This window comes from Homo sapiens, chromosome 15 (assembly GCF_000001405.40).
Source record: "Homo sapiens chromosome 15, GRCh38.p14 Primary Assembly".
NCBI classification, from domain to species: domain Eukaryota; kingdom Metazoa; phylum Chordata; class Mammalia; order Primates; family Hominidae; genus Homo; species Homo sapiens.
Window position 1 is genome coordinate 86,223,390 of NC_000015.10, and position 25,881 is coordinate 86,249,270.

At 42.8% G+C, this 25,881-nt stretch overlaps 1 protein-coding gene across 11 annotated transcripts in view, besides 1 other annotated feature; it reads left to right on the forward strand.

Moving 5' to 3' along the window:
- Positions 1-25,881, forward strand: part of AGBL1 (AGBL carboxypeptidase 1) — a 951,857-nt gene that overhangs the window by 143,770 nt on the left and 782,206 nt on the right. For all 11 annotated transcript variants that reach the window (XR_007064423.1, XR_931751.4, XM_011521227.4 and 8 more), the window contains exons 6-7: positions 1,525-1,562; positions 24,282-24,490. Coding sequence is in view for 9 of the 11 variants with exons in the window: in XM_011521227.4 (XP_011519529.1) it covers positions 1,525-1,562; positions 24,282-24,490 (247 nt within the window). In the remaining 2 variants the exon portion in view is untranslated. The remainder of the gene's footprint in view (positions 1-1,524; positions 1,563-24,281; positions 24,491-25,881) is intronic.
- Positions 13,538-14,416: an enhancer, noted in NCBI's record as "OCT4-NANOG-H3K27ac hESC enhancer chr15:86780158-86781036 (GRCh37/hg19 assembly coordinates)". NCBI's record gives its function as "activates a minimal SCP1, AML or CMV promoter by ChIP-STARR-seq in naive and primed H9 embryonic stem cells {active_cell/tissue: H9 hESC(naive and primed)}" and the evidence as "EXISTENCE:reporter gene assay evidence [ECO:0000049][PMID:30033119]".

Sequence of the window (25,881 nt, forward strand, 5' to 3'; positions counted from 1 at the left end):
GTTCTGCTTTTCCCAAAACACTGATTTTCTTTTTGCCCCAGCCCAAGCCAGGCCCCATATACTATGGCACCTGGATTTTTCACACAACTTGAATTTTCAGAAACACCTTCCATGTGTTCCGTTTTCAATCCACTGTTGTGAAAACTCTGTGGGATTCAACAACAGTGGGATTGAAGAAGCTGAAAGTTGATAAGAGGAAAACCGTTTGAAGGATAAATGAAGTAGTCCATCCATGAAAGCTAGCCTCGCCCTCTTTTAACTGCCCTATGGTCATTTTGGTCTCCCTGAGTGGGGGTGTCATCCCAGTTGTGGGTTTGCACAGGGGCCTGTGAATTTCAGGCTTTTGCTCTTGTGGAACTGCCTTGTAGGTTATGGGGAGCAATGCTTTCACATGTACTGCTTTTCTACTGTATTTTACTTTATATTTATTCTTTCATTTATCTTCCTTTTTACTGCTGGCTCTGTTGTTCAGTATTAGCTAATATATTGCAAAGTGAGCTTTCATTGACCAGGCAGAGGCCAGGGTAGGGCCACTGAGAGATTCTGGAGAACAACAGATGGGGAGGAAGCAGAGGTGTGCAGCGAGATTCCTGGGATTGGGATCCCAGCTCTGCTGACATGTCTGTACAGTCTTGGAAGTGTGATCTAGCCTCTTTGGCCTGTTCCTCCAATCCTGAGAGAGGTGGTGGAAACAGATCACTGCTTAGCAGGCCTTAGGGATAAGTTACTAGGGCCACACAGAATCTTCTATTTTTTTAAAAAAGCAAACACAACTCTCCTCCCTATAATTATACTACACTGCCCTCAATGCCAGTGAAGTTTTCCTTTGCCCTGTAGGTAGATTTTTGTGTGACCTTCTCAGAAGCAGGAAACAGATTGAAAAGCCACTAAGATGTGGGTCAAAAAGTATTTTTCATTCTCATATGTGTCCCTTTGTTGCAAAGACTGTGACATTCCTCCATGGCAGAAAGGAATGAATTTGGAAGAAAAATCCCAACATAACTATTTTCCACCCTAAGGAAACAGCCTCTCTTTGCAATGTGTGAATGCATTTTCCACTGCATCCCCAGGGGTATGAGTGTTTCAAGAAGTTTGCACTGTGCTGCTACATTCACTAAGCCCCCAAGCCCCACTCCTTCCCAGACCATCCTCCAGAGTCCCTGCAAGTTTCCAGAAACAAACAAATCAAGAGACTGACAAGAGCTCTGCCTGGTATGAATAATAGAAAAATGAGCCACTCTGTGCAAGGAAGTTGGTGGAAGGTGGGAGGCAAGCAGGGGAGAGAAAGAGATTTTCAGCAGCAGAGGGGACCTCAGAGACCCATCTACAAGACGGACACTTCGCTCAGCGTTATTTCTGCATTTATGCCTCTTTAATGGTCAGCGGGGCAATCAATAGATTGCCTGCTACCTGGTTAATCATGGGTCTGTTATGGGGTGGCAATGGGCATGCTGGCTGTGGGATCCATGTGCTGAGAAAAAGACCATTGAATGTTGACTGTTACTTTTCTTTCTCTTTCCCCAGGGCAGCCACTGAAGTTTTGGCAGCATTGCTGAAATCCAGTAAGCACCTCTTTTGAAGGGTGGCTATTTCTCTCCACTCTGGGTTTAATGAAAGATACTTTCTGGTCCCCATGGCTGTTTCTTTTTTTTTTTTTTTCATGAACTACTATTTCTCAATCACCTATGGCTAATTCCTGACCTTGAAAGTGATAAAGTCATGTCGTGGGTCTTTGGGGGTAAGATAGAGAATATTATGGCTGTTCCAGGTACATGACCACAAAGAGAAAATAAATATTATCCATACACAATGCCACCAAGACAATGGACCCTAAAGGGGGTATATTGACTACTGTGGAGCTGATGGACCCTCCACCCCTGTCTAACAGAGCCAGCAGTCCCTAAAGATTGTTGAAATAAATTCCAGGTTCCAGTGGGATTGCCTCCAGGTCCCAGTGGAAGAAAAGATTTTGGCTGGCTGGAGAGAAGTATTCCTGTATTTGGTTCTCAACTCAGCTCAGCTCATGAGTCTATATTCTTGGGCAGGTGGAGTGCTGGGAATTGCTTGGACAATGATGATGCTGATAACAAATTTATATTTAAAAGTTGACTCTTTTCTCAGTTACTTGAGTGATTGCAAAAGAATAGCTCTGGGGTTCTGAATAATTTGAGGAATTTTTTGCCTGGTAGCCCTGGCCTAATTACGTTGGGAGTCAATTTCATGTGTGCAATATAATAGCAGGCACAATGCACTTGGGAGGGAAGAAGTCTTAGCTTAATGTTTTTACTCATTTTTTCCTCCTTACCTCTTCATCTATTTTAATTTGGCACCTTGGAAGCCAGCTGCTTCAATTGTGATATTTGTTTCTCTATAGGGAGCCTGAGGCCTGTGGGTAATAGGTGAACTTTAATAAAACTTTTAAATAAATAAATAAAAATAAAAACACTCTCTCCCCCCATCCATACATCTCTGTCAACTATAAGCAGAGAGAAAGAGCCAAATCACATGCTGTTTCCCTTTATAGGCTTAGAAAAATTGAAGCTTGAATTCATTTGGTTTATTTGAATTTGATATGAGATGCAAGTCCACATCTGTGGACTTGACATGAGATAAGCTTGATAAGCTGTGATATGAGATAACTTGAGATAACTTGATAAGCTGTGATATGAGATCCACAGCTTAAAGACCTGCAGGTAGAGTGGAGGTGGTAAGAGCAGGATAGGGGAGTGAAGAGGAAGGGCTTATGAAGCCCTGGAGATAGGAAGGGATGGAAAAGTGTTACTGTGGGTTCTGGGGAGAGGACCATTCATTCTTCAGACTGAACTTGCTTCAGGTTTGGCATCTCGGTTCTCATTATTTATCTGCTCCCTCGGTTGCTCCCAAATGCCTGGTGTTTGAAGCACCAAGGTGAGGGGGTGTTGAATTGCAGGAGGAAAAGATGCTGAGAGCAGCCTGGTAGGCCAGCCTGTGAATGTCATGCCTTGGGAAAGAAGCTATCTCTCAAATCCCCCCAGCCCAGCCTTGGCATGGAGGACTTGATGTTTCATGGGAAGGGAGCCCAGAGAGCTGAGTAAGGCTGGCTTACTTTCTACATACACACTTTCCTTAGCTCTTGAGCTTACGGTTGAGCATCCTGATATAAATTGTACCTACCTAGATGTGTAAAACTCTGAAAGTAGTCTTATGTCAGTTGTTTACTCTATTGATCAGGAACACAATGCCTCAGCCCAGGAAAAACCAATAGCCAGTGCAAACACGGCTTGATTCAGGCTCAGACCGTGTAGCTAGGTTTTCAACACACCAGCCATGCCTAGTAGGCTGAGTGTGCAGTGATGGGCCTCAGCTTTTAGAATTTCTAACTTCTTCTTTCCCTTTAGAGCTTAGCTCAGATATTGCCTCCTCTGAAAATCCTTTCTCTGACTACCACAACTTGGATGCCCCTCACCAATGCTTTTATAGGCTCTCCCAACTCAGACTTGATTACATTGTGATGAAATTGCTATTGTCTGTCTCTTCCAGCAGACTGCAAGCTTTTGAGGGAGAGAGTCATCTGTATTGGTTGTTGTATTACTTGCCTCAGCACAATGAAAATCCTGAAATAAGTATTTGTTGACTAAATTTTTTTTGTTGTTGTTTTCTTTTTAAAATAATTTTGAGTACTGGGATACCAAATTTTTAAATGAATACATGATTTGTGATTTTTCCCATGTGTAAAAATGGCAGTACTGCCCCCTTCTACCAGAATCTAACATCCATGCATAGAACCAATGATCTAAACATTTGTGATTCTCATCTCTATTTACCTGTTCTAACAGATTGGTGGAGAACTGCAATAGCTTGCTGTCCTCCACATATAAAACGGGTTTTAGTGTCCCACTAGGAGGATGTATAGCCTATTTGCTAATTCTGCTGAGCTGTCTATACATCTTTGGTGTTAATTATAACACAAGGTAGTTGGATGAGAGGTTCTCTAACATTCTTTCTAACACTAAATACTCAGCCTTAATGTGTATCAGGGTTTCTCAATGTACCATTGGCATTTTGGACAGGATAATTCTTTGCTGTTAGAGTCTGTTCTGTGCATTGCAGGATATACAGCAACATCCCTGGCCTCTACCCACCAGACGCCAGTATCATGCCTCAGTTGTAACCAAAAAATTATCTTCAGACTCTGCCAAATATCCCCCATGGGGGGTGGACAGTAAAATTTCCACTTGTTGAGAATCACTGATGTGTATGTATTTGGGTACACACATGAGCTGAAGCTCATTCAAAGTTTCAAAAGACCCCTTCCAAAATACCTTTATTGATATTTCCAAGAAATGCACTTCTTGCATAATTGATGTGAAATTCCTCAGTATCAGCCTCATTCATATGGGTTCATAAGAGGTAAGAACACTGAAGGCAGAATGTCATTGTGAGCATTTACAAAGTACTTTGGAGGGAAACAGATTCTACAGGATCTTGAGGGTCTGAGAATGAGGAGGGCAAATAGATTTAATAATGAGTAGAAAGTCCAATGTGTGGGTAGGAGAATTCTGAGATCATGTTTAAGCTCAGCAAGAAAGAGGACTTCATTTAAATCGCAAAGTCTGTCATGGATTTGGGGAGAAGTAATAACAGCATGCTAGGCAGCTGCCGTCTTTGTTTTACCAGCCTATCAAAAGTATTGATGGCATGAAGGGTCTGGTTATAGATGGTACCAACATTCTGATGAGTCAGGGGTTGCTGCAGGGCATAGAAGTGTTGTGGAATTTTCTATTTGCTTTACATTGCCTATATGTCATGTATAGTTAAGACCTGATGTGGAATATCTTTCGACTTGGACCCCAGAGTGAGTTTGCCTCAGCCGAACTTAAATTCAGGAAGTCAGTTTCTGTCTAAAATTCAAGACTTCACCATCTGGCACTGATATCTGGGAACGTTTATGTAAACCTTTAGCTCCTAAAGGCACACTCCTTTTAGCTGGTGATTATTCTGAGCTTGATCTTTGCTTGTCAGTGAGTGTAAAAGTTGGCCATTGTAATCGTTCTCTGTAATTGCATCCCAAAAAGGAAATAATTCTCTGATCTAAGTAAAGCCAGGAGTAAAGACCCACTACTCTGCAGGGAGAGGGGGCAGTCAGTGGTCCTGTGACAGTAAACACTAGGGTGGGTTGGAAATCTGAGGCCACTGAGGCCCTATCAAGTAGTGACAGGCGGAGGTCATCCCCAGGAAAAGCAGAAGTGAGGGATCAGGGAGACTTGGAGTCTACCCACAGTAACCACAGAAAGCAAGGGAAAGATCACCTGCATTGCATTTGGAAGATCTCATTATTCAGCTTTCTCTTTTATCAAGTAGTGACTGCATGAAAAGCCAGTGTAGAATATGTGGGTGTTGGGAAAAGAAAAATGAACAAACACATTTCCCGTCTCTGTCTCTTTCTGGGCAATAGCAGGCAAAATAAACCTGGAAATCCTAGTTCTCTTCTCCAGTTATCTCAGCAATTTGGGATCCTACAAATTAAAAATCATTGCTCACTCAAGGTTCCTTTCTGTGTCTATGTAGGCTGGAATGGTCTAATCCAAATCCCGTGCCTTTCCTTGTATCAGTTCCCCTCTTCTCCACTCTCACATGCACAAATCCCACCCTAAATTGTCCTGTATTGAAAGTTTTGCCTTTTTATGCTTTATCCTATCCAAACACATTTAGCTTTTTATTCCTGAAATGTAGTAAAGCTTTAGTCAGGAAATAGTGCTACTTATTATTGCAGGAAATTTTTTAATATAATAAATCAAAACAACATGTCCTTTGTTTTTCCCTCTGTATTAGTCTGTTCTCATGCTGCTATGAAGAAATACCTGAGGCTGGGTAATTTACAAAGGAAAGAGGTTTAATTGACTCAGTTTTGCAGGGCTGAGGAGGCCTCAGGAAACTTACAATCATGGCAGAAGGGGAAGCAAACATGTCCTTCTTCACATGGCAATAGCAAGGAGAAGTGCCAAGCAAAAGGGCAAAAAAACCCTTATGAAACCATCACATCTCATGAGAACTCACTCACTATCAGGAGAACAGCATGAGGGTAACTGCCCCCGTGATTCAATTACCTCCCACCAGGTCCCTTTGATTCAAGATGAGATTTGGGCGGGGACACAGCCAAACCATATCACCCTTTCTTATCATCTGCCTTCACTCTGCCTTTATCTCATCTCATCTTCTTCTACCTTCATCTCTGTCTTTTCCTCTTTTTCCCTCATCCTTTTTGTCATTTCTCATTTCCCTGTCCACCTTTCCCTCTTTCTTTTTGCTTCCTCAATTACCTTCCATGAGCATTAGGCATAAATGCATTTTTGAAAAATTGTGACCCTGGAAGCGGCACTTGAGTAAGTGTGCGGCAATGGGATTATGCCTGATTTGTACTGGCTCCAGAAATGAATCTTCAAATAATGTCTTAGTATTAACCTTGCTGTCCAGATTTAAAGGTCATATTCTTGCAACAAGAAAACGCCTTCTGGTTCAGGCCCTAAAACTTAATAAGGGAATGATAAGTCTCTGTCAGACCACTCTCCAATTTAAGAATTAGCATTTAAAGGAGTCTGGAAGTTTGCAGAAGTTGGGGCATGGGAACAGAAAAGCAAGTTAGCAAAGGAAGAGCGACAGAGAAGAAAAGGGGGAGGGAGAGATGTAAAAGAGCTAATGGGAAGTTTGGCAGGAAGTTGAGACTTCTCACAGATCTTCCTCGTTAATGCTCTGTCTGGCTGGTTCACAGGGACAGCCCGTCAGCCTGTTGCTCCAGGAGGCTAGGAAGGGAGGGCATTCTAAGTGCTGAGAGCCGGATCAGGAACAGACAGCCTCATAGTCTCAGGAGTCGTCTGCTGTGACCTGGCAATCAGCAATGCAGAGACGGGAGAATGTGATTGATGGCCAAATGGCTGCTCTACTACAAAATGTCAAAGAAGGGGCCATCTTTGATATGCACCCAAATCAGGTCTTTATAAGAATTCTAAGAGTTCCAAGGAGTCCTCAGAATGGCAATATATGTTTAGGATGGTTGGCATTGTTAATCCTTTGATCTCATGACCATGCACAAGTACCAGTGGATCAATGCAGCTGTCACTGAACTTGCATGTAAATTCTGTGTTTCCACACTGCCTGTGGTCTGCCCTCCTGGCTCCGGGCTCTGCCCTGCCTTGATGAGAATGATGCCCCCAAAGTTTTGCCCACAGAGTGTATTTCTTCCTTTAGTTTCCAGATGAGGGCCATGGAGTCAGACTACGAGAACTGGAAAACACCTTCAAGGCTGTCTCATCCAGGGATATTCAAATATTTGTTTTTAAAAATTCGTTCTTATTATTCATTTTTAATTGAAAAGTTAAAATGTATATATTTGTGGTGCACCACATGATGCTTTGAAATATGTAGACATTGTGATGGTTGAATTGAGGTAATTGACACATGCAGTTTTTGAGTAGAGAGCTCAGAGTCACGTCTGCCCGGCTCCCATCAATTAGCCCCAAGGCGGCCTCTGAGACACAGTCACAAAAAACAGGGCTCCTGTGAACACAGAAAACTATTGATCTTACCTCCCCCATCCCCCTTATTTTCACAGGAGGAAACTGAGGACCAGAGAGAGGGCGTGATCCACCTAGATCTCTGAGACTTCGAATGTTTCATGTCCAGCCCTTCTTTGGGTCTTGGCACAAATAACACTGTTCATAGAACCTTATGTTTATATTTCAGAGAACTAACCATACTGTAATTGATGAATCATGTTTTTTTTGCATATTATGTGTGTATGCATATTTTTCCTACTGGGTATAGCTCCAAAGGAACTGGGATTCTACTGGATCCCCCATACCTCATACTGGGCTACACCCAGAGTAGCTGATAATACATTAATGTTGACTAAGAAAGAATTCCAGGTTCCTGACTTTAGCCTCACACATTTGCTTTCAGTATGCCTTGGTGAAGAGTCCAGCCTAATTCCCGTCCCCAGAAGGAATCAAATTGTGGCATGATTATAGAGCTGATGTCTCTTCTTCCACCATAACTTCTGGAGAAGCATGCAGTATATTTCTGTGATGAGCCAAAAATTTGCTTCAAATAATATTGATAGATTTTTGCATTTGTTACACTGGGATGGACGGCTGTGATTGAGTGTGCAGGAATGCAGCATAGCAAGCTATATCCATCACGCTGTTGGTTTGAAATGACAACCCAAATATCTACCATTTAGCAAGAGTTCTTAGTATGTCAGGCACTCTATACACAGTTAGCCTATCAAGGAGATTTTATAATCCCCATTTTACAGATGTAGGAACTGAAGTTTGGAAAGCTGAAGTAACTCACATCGTTAGTGGGCTGCAGGGCTTACCTGCCAGTCTCCAGACCCCTGGGACCTGAGCTCTGTGCTGAACCGAGGAAATTAATGAGGCTAGGTTTATTTAGCCTAAAGAAGATATGACTGGAAGCTGAAAAAAAGCTAAATAAATACTGTCTAAGTATTAGAAGGATTATTGTGGGAGGGGGTATCTGTCATTGAGGTTAGAAAAGAACATGGTCCATGCCTTGTAGGCATCTGAGTGGGACCCAGCAAGAGGTACCCAGCACACCACCATGGCTGTGTAAAGGGCCAGGGTCTCTGCTGCCCTGAGGCCGAGCCTCAGGCCGGCCGATGAATGGTGGGGTGAGAGAGAGGAAGGAAGCAGGAAGAATTACAGACTCCTCATGCCATGCTGTGTTCAACTTGGCACATGGCTTTTTTTCCTGGGCTCCAAATTCAGTCCTCTCTGCCAAAATGTTATGTCTTTTGCATAAGTCCATAGAAGAGCTTAAAAGGTTTAAGCTAAAGGGATACTACCTGTCCTCGTCGCCCCCATCCCTGTCCCCTTGGGACGGTCAGACCCAGTAGGTTGGGCGGGCCTTGGGCTGAGCCGCAGACAGTAAAGCATATCGTTCCTCTTCCGGCCATGTGGTGGTGCTGTTCTTTTAGTTATCTTGGCCGCGCTAGTCCAATATTTATTTTCAGTGAGTAATTTGTTTATCAGGAGGTTATTTTAATGTAATTTTGGCCATATTTGCTATTCCATACTATCTGTGCTTCCCAGCGTTAGCAGCTTGCGTGTCTTGAAGGAAATTAGCTGAAGATGGTCTCAGAGGCATTTGCTAAGCCATTATTTAAGGGAGTTGGGAGGAGGCAGGGTGAGCAGAGCCAGGGGTGGGAACAGCCGATGGAATTTGTTGCATTTTCAGTGATGTTAGCATGATGGATCGGGACTTACGGAGGGCAGGAGCACCCGGAGCTGCTTTTTCAGAGCTGCCTCTGGTGAATCCTAGAACATCTTGTAGTTACGTCTCCCCATTTCCCCTCTCGCTCTTTGATAACCTGTTATCTTCCTTGCCTGGTCAGGAAAACACCATGTAAGGACAATGCCCTCCTGCCTCCCCGCCCTGCATGTAGCCCTCATGCCGTGTCATAGTATATTTTGTGAACCTTTTACTGCCAGCCCTCAGCGAAGTGGGAAGGAGGGTAGGGAGTAGGGAGAGAATGAGTGTTTATTAGAGTACCTGCACTGAATAATGACTATCAATAATTACGGAGCACAGCACTTGCTAGGCACTTTACACATGGCATCTCATTCTCACTAGAGCCTGTAATATTATGATCCCCATTTTACATGCAAGGAAGGTGTAATCAGGAGAGGTTAGTGACTTGCCCAAGATCCCACACATGGTAAACGAAGAGCTAAAATTTGAACTCAGTTGTGACCATTTCCAAAGGAGAAAAGCTTCATATTTCAAAGATTATTCCCACCTTCCACATGGAGTCAGGAAACTGGACTCTGGGTTCAATGCAGCCATTGATTGGCTCTGTGACTTTAAACTAGTTCTTTGCTAGTTTAAATCTTACCAATTATCAAACTGAAATCAAACACTTGACTTCAGTTTGGTTTTTCAAACATGGGAGGGCTAGCCCAGGCGAGGAGATTAGAAATTCTTTAGTAGCAAAACCTTTTTTTTTTTTTTCTTGAACATAAAATCTTTTGAGGGAAATTGCATGCATAAAGCAAACAATGGGGAGTAAGGGGAGACCCCAATTAATGACAGCATGACTTGTCCTTTGCCCCTCCCTTTCCTTGCCTCTTGATAGGCATTGAGAAACACCCAAAGAAGTTCCTGAGGGGCCAGAAGAAATCAAGTTTGAAAACCTCTGAAGTAAATATACTCAAGGGACTCTTTCAGAGCCCAGTCTGTTGTTTGAGATTACAACTTAAAAAATGGGCTGACACTTTCCTTGGGAGGTTTGAAAATGTGTTAAATCTTACTATGCAGTGGCAAGAAGGAAGAACTAGTGAAGTTTGACCTGGAGGAAGATCCAAAATATTGTTCTCATCCTCCAGCCCTAGTCAAGTAAATTCTGAGTCTCTTGGGACTAACAGACCTAATGAAACAATTGAACTGAACCTGACCCAGTGAGGAGGGTCAGCTTCCAGTTGGGATTTTACTGGCAGGCAGGATGGGCAGTATAATTCCACCTTCCCAAGGTGGCCAGGGTGTTCCCAGGCACCCATTCTGGGTCCAACACAGCTGTGGATGGTGGTGTTGAGTTTTTCTTGTTTGAGACAAAACTCTTGGTCACATAAGATATTGTTGGGTTGTGATTGCCACTAATCCTAGTTCTTACACTCATGCAGGATGCTGTCTTTTATCAGGAGATCCTGTCAAGACTTAGTTCTATCTCAAGGGCTATTCCTCTGTCCTGTGTATCTGCTTGTAGGTTTCAGCCATGTTGTTTCTTTGACCATAGTATAAAAGTGCTCAAGGTGGCTTGGTGGCATGTGTGCAGAATGGTGTATGTTCCCTGTAAGCTCAGAACTCTTACTCCGAAAGAGTAAGTCACAAGGCCGAGAGCGGTGGCTCATGCCTCTAATCCCAGCACTTTGGGAGGCCAAGGTGGGCAGATCACAAGGTCAAGAGTTCCAGACCAGCCTGACCAATATGGTGAAATCCCGTCTCTACTAAAAATACAAAAATTAGCTGTGCGTGATGGCATGCACTTGTAGTCCCAGCTATTTGGGAGGCTGAGGCAGAAGAATTGCTTGAACTCTGGAGGCGGAGGTTGCAGTGAGCGAAGATCACACCACTGCACTCCAGCCTGGGCGACAGAGTGAGACTCTATCTCAAAAAAAAAAAAAAAAAAAAAAAGAGTAAGTCACAGTGGAGAATAGCACTTGCTCAGTGGTCACTGTGCAGGCTCTGGAAAGACTGTGTAGAGTTGAACTGTGGCCACTGTGGCATGTTTCTTAATGACTCTGTGCTACACTTCCCTCATCTGTAAAGCAGGGAAAACAGTACACTCCAAAGATAATTGGTAAGATTTAAACAAGGTGATGTTTAAAAGAGTGGGAGTACAGTACTGGATCTTGGTACATCTCAATAAAGATGAACTCTTGTTTTATTGTCATCACCATTTCAAAAGTCCTGGAGGTTTCAGGAAGTGATGATATAAGGGCATAAAGCCTGATGAAATGTAAATTTGTCTCCCAAGATCTTCCCCGAGGGTTGAATGATATCTGGTTGTTTTTAGAGTCTGTCTTTTTTTCAAGAAGCTTTTTCTGTAAAAGCGCCAGATGATAGTAAATATTTTACGGTTTGTGGATCAGACAGTTCTGTCACAGCTACTTAACTCTTCCCTTATAGGACAAAAACAGCAACAGACAACATATAAAGAAGTGAAAAACTTCATGAAAACGGGCTGTGGGCAATTTGCTGACCCCCTACTTTAGACTATGTGAGCCTCGGATCTGGGGACTCTGTTTTATTCTTATTTCTTAAGCTATTCTTCTTATTCTTATTTCTTATTCATTCTTCCTTATTTCTTAAGCTATTGACTCTAATGTGTTTTATAGAGTGGACACTCAGAGTAAGTTATCTAAATGAACAAAGGAATCAGTGAATAAGTGAATGCGTGCAGATTGAACCCTGCTCAATCAATCCGCATGCACTTGTTTTGTTTTACTCTAGGGAATCAAAGGTTAATATCCAAGGTTGATGAGTTCTAAATGTCTTAAATTTTAGAACTTGTATCATCCCGGCATAATTGATGACTGGCTATGGATTGACAAAGATAAATTATCACAAAGATTTAAGGAGATAGAGAAAAATATAAACATTTCATGACTCAGAAAGTACATCATGGCTTCCTCATCACTTTCAGGATTGGCTGTACAATTATTTATTTACATCAAGATGTACCTAAGGTGTTTCCTAGCACCTTCTAATAACAGCAGTTTACAAAGCAGCTTTTCATATATACAATCTCATTTAATCTTCACCATGGTCCTGTCAGACGGGTAAATATTTAATTATTCTATAACAGTAGTTCTCAACATGAGTGACTTTGCCCCAGAGGGAGCAATTAGCAAGGTCTGGAGACATTTGTGGTTGTCACATCTGTGGTGGGAGAGGGTGTGCTGCTGGCATCAACTGAGTAAAGGCCAGATTGCTGCTGAACATCCTACAAATGCACAGGATGGCCCCACACAATGAGTAATATCAGCCCAAGATGTCAGTAGTGTGAGGATGAGAAAAATAGTGTTCTATACAGAGGACACTGAGGCCGAAAGAGATTGACTGACTTGCCCGAGATTGTGTAATATGCACTTGGCATATTGGGACTAACCTCTACTCCTTCCTTTCACTACTGCAGGTTTTAAACTTTTTTTTGAAAGAAATGAATGTTTATTTTTATTTTCAAATGAAATCCTTTGCAGAGCCACTGTATATAAACAGATGACAGTGTAGCTGCTCTGGGGACAATGGAAGTTAGAGACGCTGCTCAGCCTTTTTCTTAGCCCCTTCCACCAGTCCCAGGGGCACACAGTATGGCAACCACTGCCCACAGACCGTGAGGCACACAGAGCACTAGACATCTCTTGGCACCCCAGACTTCCAGATGTCCCTGGAAACTACTACTTTTTTTTTTTTTTTTTTTCCAGTAGGGGATGAAGCATCCAAATTCTGCTTCAATAAAATGCATTGCACAGAAGAAGAGAGAATGGAAGCATTGGGGTCACATATGAGGCTATTGATTGCTGGTGCAGCCCAGGTAATAGGAGAGGATGGACATATCGAGAGTGATAGGAGTTGAGTTAAAAGGAGAATGCACACGGCTCAAGGTTCTGTGATTGCATAGTGTTACAGCTCTGAGGACTGGAGGAACACCAGGATCCTTAGTCTCGGGCCGAATTGGATAAAACGACATGAACACACATGGAGTAGTTTTAAGGAGTGGAGAGTTTAATAGTAAAGAAAGAAGGAAGAAGCCTCCCCATACAGAGACAGAGGGAGGGGGGCTCCAAAGCCGAGAGAGGAAACCAGAGTGCGGCAGAAATCAGCTGGAGGCTGGAGGAGGGGGTATCTGATTTGCATAGGGCTCAGGGGATTGGTTTGACCAGGCGTGTCATTCACATAGCCCGGGGAAAAAACTGACCCTCCCACCCTAGCCTTTTAATATGCAAATACAGGGTACCCTGATGTTCCACACACACGGGGATATGTGGGCGGGGGGGGGCGGGGGGGGGCGGGGGGGCGCCAAGTTGCCAGGCACATGTTGGGGCAAGGGCAAGAAGATGTGGGTGGGCCCAGTTTCTAATGGTGGACTCAGTTTTTAATGGCCCACATTTGCATATCAAAGCTGGCCAGCCCAGCTCTAAAAGCCGGGCCTTTCCTGCTAGACAAGAAACGTTCTGGAGCTACTTTAAAAGAAACAAAAACTTCCCAAGGACCCTCTTTCCTCTGTATCTGCCTAAAATAATTTCTTAATAACTCCTATAACAATAGTGACACACTATTGGCTGACATAAGGCTGAAGGGTGGCAGGCTCAGGGGTGCAGAAGCATTTGCTATTTGCCTCTTCCTCATACACTCAGGGCCTAGAGGCACAATGCAGTGTGAACCGATTCATGAGCGATGCTTGCAACGCAGGGCAGAATTGCTTTCCTGCTGTCTATGTTGGTTGTCTGTACTCTGGCCAGAAGCAGGCAGCATCACTGGTGGACAGACGGGTGCCTTAAATATCAAGTTGGGGAGAAAGGAAGGTGAGGGAAGGTCTCTGATTTTCTTCTTCTTGATGTAAATCCTGGCTTTCTTCTTTAAGTGTCATCCTCTGATGAGTTGACAGTGGACACAGCAAAGTCAAACCAGGTGGAAGATTTTCTAGACCTGGAAGGGATAATGGCTTGTCTTGGGGTTTAGCAAGTACTTCCTTCCCCACCCACAGTCTAGACTCAAAATAAAAATTTGGATGGATAAAAAAACTCCTATACAAATTTCTAGGCCTATTTCTAAGACAATTATTCTGAAGGGTCTTCTTGCAGAGATGCAAAAACAACAGAAAGGCGAGTGAGAAATTCTCAGCCTGACAGATTCCCCCGCTTTTGCACAACCTGTTGGGATGAGTCTCAAAATGGTGGGGGGTCACACATCCTGATCCCTGCTCACCTTTCCCGTCATCTGCTACTACTGTCCCCTTGCTTTCTTCACCTGGCTTTAGCTCCTGGACTTTTCATTATTTGTACTTACCAAGTTTTTGCTTTATCCACTTGCTGTGTGCCCTTGAGGTTTGAAGAATTTCCTATCCCCAGATCTCTGCATCCTGGTTCCTTCTTGTCGCTCATGCCTCAGCTCCAATGCCCCCTCCTCAAGGGTCTTCCCTGATCATCCAACCTAAAGCAGCCACCCTACCTCATCACTCTAGTGCCACTGTTTTGTTTTCTCTGTATCACTTGTCTCTATGTGAAATTGCCTTGTTTAGTTTTCTTTGTGTGTGCCTATTTGGTATCTGCCTCCCCCTGCCACTCCTGTGGGACTGCAAACCCCATAAGAGGTGAGGCTTTCTCTATTTCATTTTCTGCTGCATCTCTGTTGTCAATAATAGTGCCTGGAACAACTGGTATATCGTAGTTGCTAAATAAATGTTTGCTGAATGGATTAAGGGTGGTACCTTGGGTTTTGGGTGTGTGAACATGGTTTTAGTTTATAATTTACTCTCTGCCTAGCCATAGGGAGAATCTGGCTTTCCGGACAAAGGCCTGTATGTTTATTTGCATCTAAGAAGCAAACCTCCCAAGAGTCTACCATGTTAGAGAATTTTCAAACTAGCAATATTGAAAAATCAACCATATTTTCTCAAATCTAAGTCTATCATCAACTGTGAGGTGTATGCCATTTTTTATGTGCCACTGAGTGAGAAAATGCTGTCAGTTACAATGAAAACATCACCCTTGGTAAGAAGCACCTTAATTTCAGAAATGCTAAAATGTGGATAAACATATGCCTGAGGATTGATAAAGTATGTGAGATAGACTCCTCATATGGAATGTAGAATGTTGACTCAGAAGAGTTTCGAGTCTTGTGGCGCCTTCTATGTTTATTTTTCAAATTTATTTTTTATTTTTATTTTTTTGTAGAGATGGGGGTCTCACTCTGTTGTCCAGGCTGGTCTTGAACTCCTGGCTCAAGCAATGCTTCTGCCTTGGCCTCCCAAAGTGCTGGAATTACAGGCATGCCCCTTTCTCTTCATAGGTGCAGCATTGCAACCTAAGGTCCTTCATTAGACATTGTATGTGCTGAGGGTGGGGGAAGAGCAGAGATGTGTGAGGAAGAGAAAGGTGTGGATTCTGAGGCTTTACTGAAAGTAGAGAAATTCCTGTGGTTTGGGACTAGTTCTGTGGCAAGTTATTAGAAGGAGTTGAGGATTTATAAAAAGATAGATTCATCTAGATTTAAAACAGTGGTCTGAAGTGTAGTCTCTTACCTGTCCCGGTTTCTGGAGCTTCGGAAAAGCATCTTTAATTTTATAAAGGCAGTCAATTGAGAAAACAAGATTTGCTTGAAACCAAAATTTACTTTATAGCCAAGTTTATTGAAATGTATCTATTTTACAAAGAGAAAAAAAGTACCCGAAAGCTAATTCAAAACCATCATTCTTATTTGAGAAATGATAATCAAGTATAATTTCCATTATGGATGGCATTAGGTTTCCTTATGCTTTTGTACATATCCTTATGCTTTTGGCTGTTCTCCTTTGCACCAGCCACTCCTGCAGCTGCAGGGCAGGAGGAGGTGGCAGTTGATTCCACCTCTCTTCAATGGTGCCGCACTCACACCTGGGCCTGACATTGCTGGGCCGGCCTCACTGTGTCATTGGCTGGATGTAAAGAAGTCCCCAAAACATCTTCTCCAGGGACTCAAAGAACCATAGGCTATTTATTTGGGTCTTTAAACCTTTTCAAGTTTCCTACGAAAAACCAACTCTTACCACAATTTAGGGCCCTGAGAGGGAACAGAGAAGTTGGAGGAGGGGGATTGGCTAAAAGCCACTCTTCAAGCACCGCAGGCTGTATCTCCATTAGCCTTTCAGAAATCTTCCTCAAGAAGCTGGATTAGTGGTAAGAACTAAAAGTCTTTACATAGGTGCAAAGAATGTGAACTATGCTGACAGCCTTGTGAGATGATGAATATGTTTATTAGCCCGATTTGTTCATTCCCCAAGGTATATATATAGGCACGGGAACCTCACATCGACCTCCATAGATATATACAATCATTGCTTTATCAATTAAAAATGAAAATAAAACTAAAAGGGAGCTTTGAGGCTACCATGGGATATTAACCTTTGGAGTCAGATGAGGGGATTTCATTTGAATCCTAGATATGCCACTTATAAGCTCTGCAGACTTAAATAAGTTGTTTAACTTCTCTTAGCCTCTGTCTTCATTTGTAAAAGAGGGAAAGTAATACTTATCTTTAAACATTTTCATAAGACAAATGAGATGATCCATATAAGATGATTAGCCTAGTGCAGAGCACATAGGAAATATTTAGTAAATAAATATTCACGTTGTAATGTGTTCTGATGGCAGACAGCTTATTTTCATGTAATATGATTTAGAATACTTAGTAGAGACTACTTTATCCAGAAACATCTTCTAAATAGACTCCCTGAAAAGACCCCTAAGATAATCTGTTGCAAAGTCAGTGGTATCGTATACTGTAGTTAGGGACACAACTACCTTTATTCTTACTAATGTCTCAGAAATGGGAATTCTCAGGTGGAAAATTGCAGGGTTTGAGAAGAGTGGTTTGAAGCAAGGGTTTCAATGTGGAGTCCTATTTGGGATCAGGCAAGTTTTGCAATATAATTGCTCAAGGTTGGGAGGAAGGGATTTGGAAGGAAACTTTGGAGAGTAAGTAAGAGTTCAATCCCCCCAGTTGCATGGTCTTCTGTTCTGAGAAGGGGGTTTCTATCCTGAAAAAGACGAGTTGAATTGTCAGTAGTTCAGATGAATGGATTTTCAGGACGGCTCTGAAACAGTAGAGCTATTTAATCTTTCTGGGCAACAATTGTTTGGGGTAGAATATGTCACGGTACTCTGTATAGCTGGAGGTAATTTCTGTTCTCAGGAATGATAGAGGGCCTCAAGTCCTTGTATTTATTCTTACTCATATATGTCTTATCAAATGTAAAGGTGGCATATTAAACATGTAACTGCTATCAGTCACATGGATCTTAGAAGATTAACTAATCTCCTAAAAAGGCTTTAGAGTAATGAGACTCAATACGTGTACATTTTGCCAGAGAGGGAAATTTTCAGGTTTATATCATGGACATGGCCTTTTATGGCACCTGGTATAAAATGGGGTGTGAACTTCAGCATGCGTAAAGAGGAGTGTTTCATTGTATGTATGGGAGTGTTTCAGAGAGGCAGCAATGTAGGACTGGTGGCCATTTTGGGGTGAGAAGTCAACTACATGCCATGGGGATTGAAGAAAATGGTTATAAATTTTACTTATTTTGAAATTTTTCCTTTGGCTCTGCTCATTGGTGAAGGGTATGTGAAATTTGGATGCCATCTTTGTAGGGAAAGGAATGATCATTTATTGAGCACATACTTTATGTCAGGTGCTGAGTTATGTTTTCAGTTCTTATAATGGACTTGTAAGAATGTTTCAATTATTTTTATCTTTTTTATATTGCTTTAATATTTACAGATGATGGAAATTCAGTTCAGAACGCTAAGTGTCCTTCTTAGTCCATTTTGTGTTTCTATTACAAAATCCCTGAGACTAGGTAACTGATAAAGAATTTTTTTTTCTCACAGTTCTGGAGGCTGGGAAGTCCAAGATCAAGGGTGTGGCATCTGGTGAGGGCCTTCTTGCTGCATACTCACATAGCAGAAGGTGAAAGGGCAAGCTAGCAGGACACTGTGTGAAGCCTCTTTTAAAAGGTCCTTAATCTCATTCACAAGAGAAGAGCCTTCCTGGCCTAATCATGTCTTCAAGGCCCCACCTCTTAATACTATCACATTGACAACACCTGAACTTTGGAGGGGACATGTTCAAACTGTAACATTGAGTAACTTAACCAAGGTTACACAGCTAGTAAACACTAGAGCCAAAAGTAAAATGAGTAACTAGGGGCCCCTGAAGCTTCTGTTCTTCTTGTTGTTATGATTTGGCTGTGTCTCTACTGAAATCTCATCTTGAATTGTAGCTCTCACAGTTCCCACGTGTCATGGGAGGGACCCAGTGGGAGGTAGTTGAATCATGAGAGTGGGTCTTTCCCATGCTGTTCTTATGATAGTTAATAAGTCTCATGAGATCTGATGGTTTTATAAAGGAGAATTCCCCTGCACAAGCTCTCTCTTGCCTGCCACCATGTAAAATGTCCCTTGTTCTTCTGCCATGATTGTGAGGCCTCCCCAGCCTCACAATTCACAGTGGAACTGTGAATCAATTAAACCTCTTTCCTTTATAAATTACCCAGTCTCAGGTATGTCTTTATTAGCAGCATGAGAACAGACTAATACATTTGTCCGTAGCAATAGAGAGCCATTGGAATAAAAAAAAAATAGATGATGCTGATCATGATGATGATAGTTACCACAGGCAACAGATATTGTACCTATTATGTACCAGGCATCGAGCCATCTACTTTATATGTATTATCTCATTTAATTCTCTCAACAGTCTCACAAAGGAGAGATGATTACTATTGGTTTTATTTTGGATAAAGACTGAGTGATAGAGCTGTAAAGTAACATGCTCAAAGTCGCACAGCTAGAAAGTGGTGGAGCTTCTGGCTATATGCAAGGATTTCAGAAAGGCAGTGACAGAAAGTTGAAGGGTCTGCCCACAGATTAGGACATGCAAGGCAGGGAGGGGTACATGAGTTTAGAAGTCTACACTCATCTGCATGTCTCATTTCTGGAGCTGTGGCTGTTAAAGCTTCCAATACGTTACTTTGCTGCAGGCTCCTACATTTTCTCTGCTTAAGGTCATCACTGCTCCCAAAAAGGATAAGGCAGTCCCCAAATATGGGAAATAAAGAGCAGTGATAACAACTTCCTTTAGTTTTGCCAAGTAAGAGGAGCAGTGGGCTGCTTGCAGGTAAAATTATTCAGGACACCAACCACTTTTCCCCGCCAGCCTGTCATGTGGCCCCACATTGCCCAGGAGAAATTCAATTTTTTGAGTCTTGAAGGTTTCTAGGCTTTCCTGTTTAGACCACAAACATCTTTATAAAGATGGTTGGGATCTCCAGTGCCTTCACGAGCTAGGCAGGTAATTCACTTCTGAAGGAGCTGGGGTTAGACAAAAAAATGAGTTGATTACTATGTCAACCTGTGGACTGCTTGCCCTTCTCACTTGCCTTGACAACACTGTGTGGCTAATAGTCTGTAGGTTACCAGTTTGTAACATCAAAAGGATACATTTTTTTTTCCTCCTGATTGTCAAAGTTTGTTGTAGAACGCGTAAGGATTAAAACTACAGAAAACTCTAAATAAGCAAATAGAATCATCAGTTGATCCTCAACTCATTAAGTATTCTTGTTACCTTGGCATATTCCCTTCCAGTTTTTAAGTGTAAAAATCTGCATCAATGGGATCTGCACTAAAGAGGCACATGTGAACCTCAGTTAAGAAATACTTGGGGTTAAAATAAGGATATCACTAGGTCCCGTTTCAGACTGAGAATTAGCTACAAGTCAGGCCCTTGGAGGATAGAACCTGGAGAGATAAGCAGAAATAGTAGAATATAGAAGGGTGAATGGGAGGTGAGGACAGAGATAAATCTCCTGTTGTTCATGGATTTGCCAAAGGAAAACTGGCCAAAAAAATACCTTCAGCATGAGGCTGGCAGCAAGGGCCTGATGGAGCTAGGGGGTGCCAGGAAGCAGGGTCAATGCTTTTAGGGTGGGGTAGAGGAGAGGGTGAGGTGTTAATACGAAAGACCCTCAGAACTCTCTGTCCATTCCATCCCCATCCTCCAACCAGTTTAAAAGATACTAATGTAGGCCGGGCATGGTGGGTCACGCCTGTAATTCCAGCACTTGGGGAGGCCAAGGTGAGTGGATCACTTGAGGTCAGGAGTTCGAGCCCAGCCTGGCCAACATGGTGAAACCCCGTCTCTACTAAAAATACAAAAAAATTAGCAAAATTAGCCGGGTGTAGTGGCGTGCACCTGGAATCCCAGTTATGCGGGAGGCTGAGGCAGGAGAGTCACTTGAACTTGGGAGGCAGAGATTACAGTGAGCCGAGATCATGCCACTGCACTCCAGCCTGGGCAACAGGGTGAGACTCTGTCTTAAAATAAATAGATAAGTAGATAGATAGATAGATAGATAAATAAGTAAATAAATAAATAAATAAATAAATATATATATAAGTAAATAGACACTAATCTATTTAGAAACTTAAAAAAAATTAAGCAACATAAAAATTTTGTTTCAAGGAAAATCTTAGGAAAACGCTGTTTATGTAAACAGACTATAGCAGAGCTGGTCTCTTCCAAAGAGGGGGACTTGAAGCCCTCTCACATCTCTCAACTCTAAGTCCACCCAGAGCAGTATTCAAAAATGCACCTCATCTCTGCTCTGTTTGCCCTGGCCCTGCAAAGCAGCGCCTTCCTCTCAGATCTTCCAGAACTCCTCTAAGTTGCTGATCCCAGTGACCCTCATTTCATTCTTTGCTCTTCTCCACATTTGCTCTTTCTCAGTTTGATGAATCTCCTCTTGTCGCATTTTAGATACGTATTGACTTTTGCACAACTTCCCAAGCCATTCTCAGAGAAAGATTGACGGGTGTAGGGTCGCGGGGGAAGGAGGTTTAGCTATTTTAAATGTTAGTAAACATGAGAGTTTGCTGGGGATTAACAGGAAATCATGAATAAAATCATTGGGATTTGATAAGGGATTTTTCTCCCAGAAAATTAAAGATTTTTTTTCATTATCTTTCTCCCCCCACCAAAAAAGACATGGATGAAGGTCACTGGGATAACCCATTATCAATCTAATACTCTTAAAACAGAAAAAAGACAAAAGTCCTTAAGCTTATGCTGCCCACGGGGCCCCTGTGAACTGTTGTTCTGGCATCTTTTTAGCAGGTGATACTGTCCTTTAATACCTCCCACTTAATTCTCAATTTTCTTTTAAACATCAGATATTGAATAGGCTGCAAACTCCTTCAGGCAATAAATAACTCTCATGCTGTATGGCCAAGATCTGCCAGGAAGTGAAATATTTTTGATACAAAAGAACAATTCATTAAAGGAGGTAATGAAGGCAATTCAAACCCTCCACAAATGTATCACCAGGTGAATAAAGCTCGTCACTCTCTGTTTAGGGTCATGTTGTAAAGAGAAAAAAACAAACAAACAAACACCAACTGCACAAATGGGCCAAAAAATCAGTGGGGCTTAGTCAAGCCTGACAATTTAGAATTTGACAAACAAGCAGAAAAAAAGAGAGTTTTATTAATATTATGAAAAAAATCCCCTCTGGAATAAAGCATTACATTTCCATGTTATTGTTTGCACTCATATGCACTCACATGGTCTTAGGGAGAAATCTGACTTTGAGATGAAATTTTGCTTATCTGATTATACCTCATGGGCTCTCCCTCACACACACTCAGCCAGAAGCACATACTGTCTCATACGCCAGTGTGAATGGTTTCGATGATGGAGAGATGCGGTAGTGAGAGAACGGAGCTACAAAATTTGGGCATTCTGACTGAGAGTCAGCAGGTTAGAGCCCTGCAATGTACCTAGTCCCTAGGAGCCAAGAGGGCCAGGCATCTACTGGGTAGATCTGAACCGGTACATGCTTGTCCACCAACCCTGTAGCCCAAGGAGCTTAACCTGAAAAGTAGTGTATATTAACTGTTGAGAGAGGTATCTTGGACTGTTCTTCTTCCTCTGTTTTAAGTCCGTAAAATACGGTTTTATGGGCGGTCCCAAACAGGAATATTGAACTAACACAGAGAAGTCAAGGAGTTGAAAAGGTCCCTATTAGATATGAGAAAGCTCCATACTAAATCCCTGCTGGGTGGGCTTCCGAACTTTACCTGAACATTTTCAGAGCCCTGTTGCTCACTACCACGTAGAGTCTATCCTCTTGTTGAACATCCTTAACTGTGAGGAATTCCTTTCCTGAATTCAGCCTAGTGTATTTTAATTTCTTTCTTTCTTTCTTTGTTTTTTTTTCTTTTGAGCTAGGGTCTCACTCTGTTGCTCAGGACTATAGCTCACTGCAGCCTCGAACTCCTGGGCTCAAGTGATTCTCCTGCCTCAGTCTCCCTAGTAACTGGAGCCACAGGTGCAAGCCACCACATTTGGCTTATTTTTATTTTTTGTGGAGATGGGGTTTTACTATGTTACTCAGGCTTGTCTCCAAACTCCTGGCCTCAAGCCGTCCTCCTGCCTCAGGCCCCCACAGTGCTGGCATTACAGGTGTGAGCCACCACGCCCGGCCTGTGATTTCTTTCTAACTTGATCTTGGGGTCTCTTTCAAGAGTGGCTGTAAGCCACTGATAGGGGGTAAAGTTAGTTGGGGTGTGTGGAGGAGGCAGCACAGCAAAACCCGTGAAGTAACAGAAGTGTTTCTGTCGTTACAGAGCCAGGAGAATAAGCGGAGTTGCTGGGGAGCCTGGAGGTGGCAGGGAGCTCTAACAGTGTCTGGGGAGAGAGAGGTCTTGTTGTGGGACTGGGCCTTTTTTAAGGTTCATGGCGTTATCTGTCAGGCTTTCCTGCAGGGGTTATGGACTGGGCAGTTTAAAGAAAACGCACATGAAGAGCAGGTCCTATTCACATGACTCTGGTGTTGTCCATTGGGTTTTACTGTGGTCAGCAGATGTGGGAAATGTTGGGTTTTGGGTTAGTGGGATGAGGAACAAGCAGGCCATGTGGCAAACAACCACGTGGGAAGGGCAAGTTTTCTCTAGGTCAGAGGCAACAGGGTATGACTGGGTTTCAAGCAACTTAAGTCATGCCTAAAAAATGGATGTGGAGGTTACAACTATATGAAACAAATTTATGAGTCTTGATTATATATAAATTAGCTTCCATTCTCTTTAGAAAGGACAGCCAACATATCTCTTAGACATGGCAGCCTTACAGGTACTATATCTCATTCAGCATCTTCTCCTTCCCCACCTAACCTGATAGTCAGCTCAACCCAAATGACAACCTCCGGGTCCACTGAAGTTCAGATAGGAGGAATGGAAATCTGGTGGAAATCTCTCTCTGTGTCTGTCTCTCCTCCCACACTATTATTATTATGTTTCTTTTTTTTCTGAGAATAAGGTACAGACTTTCATATACTCTAATTATGAATTTCCTAAAAACAAAAGTATTCTCTTACATAACCCCAGTTTATCAAAATCTGAAAATAAACATTGATACAAAACTGTTAGTATAACTATTAGATCTACAGATCTTATTCAAATTTGACCAGATGCCCAATAATGCCTTTTATAGCAAAAGAAAAAATTGTTTGCTGGCCCAAGATTTAAACTATAATTACTTATTATGCTGACTTGTCATGTCTTTTTATTTCCCTTTAGCCTCATGTTTTGTTCTGCTTTGTTTTGCCTTTCATGACCTTGACATTTTCAAGGAGTGGAGTGTAGGTCAGGTATTTTGTAGCATGTCCTTCATTTTGGCTTTGCTGATTTTCTTCATGATCCAACTTGGGTTATGCATTCTTGGCAGGAACACTATAGAAGTGATGCCGATCTTTCTCAGTGTATCATATCGGGTGGCACGTGATGACTGTCCCATTACTGGGGATGTTAACTTTGATCACTTGGTTTAAGGTGACATCTGCCAGTTTTCATACTAAAATGTTATTATTCCCTTGATGATTAATAAGTATCTTGTGGGAAATACACTGGAACATTCTCAAAGAGGTGTGGCTGTGGAGAGCCTGTGACTGACCCTGCCTTTCCCTTTGTTTTCAGAGTCGAACGGCCGCAGAGCAGTGAACCGAGGCTACGTCACCAGCCTGCTCGGGCTGCACCAGGACTGGCACAGCCATGACACAGCCAACGCCTACGTGCAGATCCGACGGGGCTTGCTGCTCTGCCTCAGGCACATTGCTGCCCTCCGGTCCGGCAGGGAGGCCTTCCTGGCAGCACAGGGCATGGAGATCCTCTTCAGCACCACACAGGCAGGCAGCATGGGGATTCACTCTGCAGCTGGAGGCCAGCTGGGTGATTCCTGAAGGCTGTCATTTAGGAATCATCCCAGATAGAGCTGGGAACGCCTCAGTCTATTTCTTGTTGCCTGCTAAGGGCGGATGTTCTGGATTTAAGGCTTCATTCCAGGCCAGGCCCGGTGGTTCACTCCTGTAATCTCAGCACTTTGGGAGGCCGAGGCAGGTGATCACCTGAAGTCAGGAGTTTGAGATCAACCTGACCAACATGGTGAAACCCCGTGTTTATTAAAAATACAAAAATTAGCTGGGTGTGGTGTTGCACACCTATAGTCCCAGTTACTCAGGAGGCTGAGACAGGAGAATTGCTTGAACTCAGGAGGCAGATGTTGCAGTGAGCCGAGATCGCACCACTGAACTCCAGCCTAGGTGACAGAGTGAGACCCTGTCTCAAAACAACAGCAACGGCAACAATAAAATCTTCATTCCATTGGTTCATTCATATATACTTAACATATATTTGTTGAATACACACTACCAGAGGTGCAGTGTATGGCATAGTGTTAAGTGTTGACTCTAGAACTAGAGTACTGGATTCAAATCCTAGCTCTAGGGCCTACAGCTGTGTAACTTTGAAGAAGTCACTCAACTTCTCTGGGCCTTGAGGTTCTTCAAAAAAAAGCAGAAATAACAAAACCTAGGTTGTTGTGTGGACTAAATAAGTTATTGTAGAAATGGCCCGTGCTTAGAAGAGTGCTTGCCATGACTGAACTGCGTTGTGAGGATGAGCCGTTATTGGAATAATTAGCAGTGGAATCTAGTGGTGGATATGACAAACGAGGCCCTTGATCCTATAGGGAAAACCTCCTAGCAGAAGAGTGAGACACTAAGTAAGCAAAGAATCCAATGAGGAAGATAATTTCATATCGCACTGTGAAATCAATGAAGTAAGGGCATAGGTCTACAGGGGCTGCCATAGGTAGAGGGAGCAGGTGTTCTTTTAGAGAGAGAGGTCAAGTCATCTCTGAGCAGATGACACCTGAGCTGAGACCTGAGTTGTTGGAGGAGCTGGTCATGCTGGTCAGGCCAAGTTGCAGAGGAAGAGCATCCCAGGGAAAGGGGATGGTGTCTTCAAGGGTTTCTACTTATCAGCACCCCACTGGAATATGCATTCTAGGGATTCCTGGATTTCAACCTAAATAAATTCCTTAATTTCACCTGATTAGGGCTAATTGAAATCCTATAGTTTGAGGCTACATATGCCCTCCTTATTGGTGATATAAGTGTTCCAGTATCCATCATCTGCTCACCCACCTTCTCCTGGGGCCAAGGCAGCCATGTTGCACACACATTATGTTCCTATTATCTCTGGATTAGGCCACCTCTGGACTCCCTTTATCAGCCTT